This window comes from Homo sapiens, chromosome 8, assembly GCF_000001405.40.
Source record: "Homo sapiens chromosome 8, GRCh38.p14 Primary Assembly".
Classification (NCBI taxonomy): domain Eukaryota; kingdom Metazoa; phylum Chordata; class Mammalia; order Primates; family Hominidae; genus Homo; species Homo sapiens.
This window is the reverse complement of record NC_000008.11, coordinates 27,230,313-27,235,307: the sequence shown is the minus strand read 5'-3', so window position 1 is coordinate 27,235,307 and position 4,995 is coordinate 27,230,313.

Sequence of the window (4,995 nt, the reverse complement as noted above, 5' to 3'; positions counted from 1 at the left end):
CTAGTGGTACTGTAATTTGGCTTTATTTTAAAATAAGATAACAGGAGGATCAAAGATGATGATGATGATGATGATGATGATGATGATGATGATGGCAGCAGCTAACTTAGGCAGCACTTACTAGATGTCCTACACTTTTCTGTACTTTTACATCTATATTATCTCACTTATCTTCACACCACCTGTAGGAGGTAGGTACTCTTATCATCCCATTTTGTAGACAAAAGAATTGAGGTCTAGAAAGGGTAAGTAACTTGGCAAGGTCACACAGGGAGTAAATGGGAGAACAGGGACTTGAATTGGGCGGTTTGCTCCCAGAGTCCATATTCTTAGCCACTGGAGTGTGCTGCTTCTTGACACCTCCAAACTAGCATCTGAGTCCCAGAATAGGGTTTCTCAAGCTGTGAGTGGTGACTCACTGGATCTTGAGATCAACGTAGTGGATCCCACCCAACCTTTCTTTTCTTTTTTAAGTGGATTAGAATAGAAAAACAAAACATCAAAATGGGTGACAGGTGATAATGGAGGCATTATTTCATGGAAATTGTGTTTCAATTTTATATTTTGTGTATATATGTGTTGATCGCAGCATAAAGTGCATTTCTTATGGGGGGTGGCAGTCAAAACCCTTTGAAGGTTACTGCCTTAGAATCAACATGGAGACAGAGCCAGGACATCCAGGCTGCAGCCCAGGAGGCTTTAGGAAGCTGCTGTGGTTGAGAAAGCAAGAGAGGCTGTGGCCTTTCCATCAAGAATCAACTTTTTCTGAGCAAACAGAGACAAGCATATGGATGGCCTCAAGAGTCTATTTTCACAAATTTACCCATAGCATCTGCATTTCCCCACTGGAATACCCAGAGCCAAGAGGAAGCCTTGTTCCCAGCACTCTCTCTCATCCATCTCCTGCCCATAAACCACATTGACTGACACTCCCATCCTTTGCCCATGCAGTTCCCTCACTAGGCTTGCTCTTCACTGCCTGGTTGAATTAATTACTATTCATTCTTTTTAAACTCAGCCCAGATATTAAGTTTCCCGACTCTGCCAGTGTTTCTATATTTCTTATATGCTTAGATTATGGTGTAATTGTTTATGTACCTATCCCTCTCATCTCTTAGACTTGATGTCCCTTGAAAACAGAAATCAGGTTTATTAATCTCCATGTCCAGGCAGTGACTACTCCAGAATTACCATATAGGATGGGATTAGGAGCAGCATTTCTGTTGAAAGAGAGGTCGGGGGTCTTACCTGGAAGCTTCATTTGTGAGGACTTTACTGCAGCACTGAAGGTAAGACTGAGAATGGAGATGGCTGATGAAGATTATACAGGAGACTAAAACCCACATCCAAGACAGCCCCAGAACTGGAATAATCCCCAGCTCCTGACACTAAAAACTGAAAACTCTAATTATGTGCCCAGCATGGGGCTAGCTTCCAAGCATTAAAAAGCGATTCTTGCACTGAAAGAGTTTACAAATCAGTTGAGACACACGTGAAAGTACCAAAGCCATGGCTCTTAAAATTTCAGTTTACATCAGAATCCCTCTGAGGGCTTGTTAAAGTGTAGATTTCTTTGCTTTAGGTGTTCGGGAATGGAAATAATCACCCAGAGTTACAGTATCCTTTGAGGGTGTTGCCCTGGACACTACATTTTAGCAAGTCATTCCCCGGGTTTTTTTTCTTTTTTTCTTTTTTTTTTTAAGATTTAATAAGCTTTAACCTCATTTTCAATTATTTTTGGTCATTGGCAGAATTTATGTCAAGTTGGTATGTGCCAGGGTTGGCAAACTAGTGGTTTACAGCTATTGTGGGTCTTGATTCATCCAATGTCCCTTCTGCTTGGCTGGTGACCTTGCCATTCCAGCTGTGCAGCTCCTCCCCTGGGAGTCTCTGTGCCTCCTCACAATCCAGAAAGACTACAGGATTCAAGCTTGGTGCTACAGGGCCCCCCACACCCTCACTTCATGGTTGCCATAGTACAGTGGGTTCTTCTTGCCTGCTGCACAGATAAAGCCAATACACTGAGACAGCAGGCGTGTTGCAGCAGAGAAAAGATTTAATTATCACAAGGCAGCCCAGAAGCATGATGGGAGATAGTTCTCAAATTCACCTCCCCAGGAGCTTGGAGGCTAGGGTTTTTTGGTGGGCAGGTGGCTAGGGAAGGGATGCTGCAAACTGGATGGGGGATGAAATCATAGGAGTGTTGGAATTGTCTTCATGCATTGAGTCAGCTTCTGGGTGGGGGGGTCACAGGCCCTGTTGAGTCAGCTGTTTGGCACGAGTCTCAGGTTCAGGTCGGGGTGGTGTCTGTTGGTCTGCCTGAATGCAAAAGTCTGGAAAATGTTTCAAAGACCAGTCTTAGGTTTTACAATAGTGATGTTATCTACAGGGGCAAGTGGGGAAGTCACAAATCCTGTGACCTCCAGCTACTTGACTTCTGAGCAGTCAGCAAGCCAGGGAACAATGGCTGGTTATAACTTAACTATGCAGAGTTCAGGCTCCTATCATGATTCTAACGTTGTGGCCCTTCATTAGTTTCACAAAGGCAGTTTTGGTCCTGAACAAGGAGGGGGTTAGTTTCAGGAAGGAACTATTATCATTCTTGCTTTAAAAGTTAAACTCTAAACTGAATCCCTCCCATAGTTTGGCCTACACCCAGGGCAGTTAGCTTATGAAGTTAAAAGCAAAATGGAGTTAGTGATGGTAGATTTCTCTCACTGCCGTAATCTTTGCGAAGGCAGTTTCACTATGGCTGTCATCCATTCCAATTGGTTGTTAAACATCTTATTTATATATGAACATTGGCAGATAAAATTATACATATGTATTGTGTATGACATGATGCTTTCACATAGATATACATTGTGGAATGACTAAATCTAATCACAGGTTTTTGGAGGCCCATCATGACCACAGTTTGATGAGTTCTGTACAATTAAGAACTAAGCCTTAGGCAGTGTCTCCAGGGGCAAGAGGAGGGACAGGTCAATGTTAGCTGAAATCCTTGGAGGAGGCTTAGCGGAGTAGGCAGAATCTGAGCTGGGCCTTGGAGGATGAGCAGATTTTGAATAGGCACAAAGGGAGAGGCAGGGCTGGAGACGAAGGAGTGGACGTCTGAACGGGCATTAAGGCAGTGGCTACAGCCACAGGAGTGAGTGAACTCATCATCCAGGAAGAATGTATACAGAAAAGGGCCCTTGGATTTCCCTGATGATGCAGCAGGATGAGGAAATAGGGACAATGAAGGGCAAAATAAGAGAGGCATATTTTAAATCCTTTGTTCCTACACCAGTGGCTTTCAGTGGGGGTGTAATGCTTCCCACAGGGGGCACTTTGGAAATGTGTGGCAATAATTTTGGTGGACACAAGGAGCAGGCAGGCACAGTGCTTCCAGTGAGTGGGTGGAGGCCAAGAATGCTAGATGTGCACCAAGAGAATGTCTCATGTTACTCTTCACTTCTGAATGTAAATGAGAAACCTGTTTATGATGAGCTAATCCCAGAACCTAGCTCAGTTTTACATATAAACACAAAGTTTTTCTGCAGTTTAAATATACACTGGCTTTTCCAGGAATGCAAGTCTTCAGCTCTGCTAGTCTCCGATCTTTGCTCTGATTTGGTTTATTGCTCTGTGCCGTCTCCATGGCTTGAGACCTTTTTCTCTTGGTTCACTTTCTGTCCTTGGATTTAACTCTATTCTCCTACTCAGTGCCTTCCCCCAGCAAAAAGCTACTTTGGAGTCACCCCAACAAAGCTTAAAAGTGAGCCTTGAAAGAATCAAAGTCTGTGATGGTTGATTTGGGGTGTCAAGTTGACTGGATTAAGGGAAGCCCAGAGAGCTGGTAAAATATCATTTATTCTCAGTTTTTGCACTAATTATTCTCAAAGCTTCAGTAGGCACTGAACCCATCCTCTTTCTGTTGAAAGAAAAACCCAGGTGGTTTTGCTTCTGATTAGAATGATTGGGCTGCTCTGGGTGTGTCTGTGAGGCTGTTTCTGAAGGAGACTGTGTGTGAATTGGTGGACTGGGTGGGAAAGATCCACCCTGAGCATGGGTGGGCACTATTCAATTGGCTGGGTGCCTGGATAGAACAAGAGGGTGTAGGAAGGACAAATGCTTGTTCTCTCTCTTTTGGAGCCTGGATACCTTTCTTCTCTTGCCCTGGGACATCAAAATTCTAGGTTTTCTGTTCTTTAGACTTCAGGATACATACCAGCGGGCACCTCTGCTTGCCCCACTGGCTCTCAGGCCTTTGCCATCGCACTAAGAGTTACACCATCAGCTTCCTTGGTCCTAAGGCCTTTGAATTTGGACCAAGCCATGCTACAGGGATCCCTGGGTCTCCAGCTTGCAGATGGATTATTTTGGGACTTAGCCTCCATAATGGAGTGAGTCAATTCTCTTAATAAATCCCTTCTTATCTTTCTGCCTATATGTGTAGCTCTGATGAATTTTGTCTCTCTGGAGGTCCGACTAGAACAAAGTCCAAATCAATGTAAAATAATCTAACAAAACCCAACACCCAACAATGTAAAAATCAAAATATCTGGAATCCAGTAAACATCTATTACATATACAAAGAAGCAGAACAATGTTACATACAATTAGGAGAAAAACCTATGGAAACAGATATAGAAATTACAGATAAAATGGAGTTTGCAGACAAAGATTCTAAAACAGCCCTTAGAAAGATGATACAAGTGTTCAAGGAAGTACTGGAAAACATAAAAGAAATGGAAGACATGAAAAAGAGCCAACTGGAACTTCTAGAATAAGAAATACAGTATTTGGAAGAAAGTGCACTGGATGAGATTTACAACAGGTTAGCTACCACAAAAGAAAACTTGAAGACAAAACAATAGCAATGATCCAAACAAAGCGGACAGGGAAAAAGACTAAAGAAATGAAGAAGGCATAGTAGCTGCCCAGTGGGTTTACCTTACCTGCTGCACAGAGAGAGCCAATTTATCGAGACAGGGGAACTGCAATAGAGAA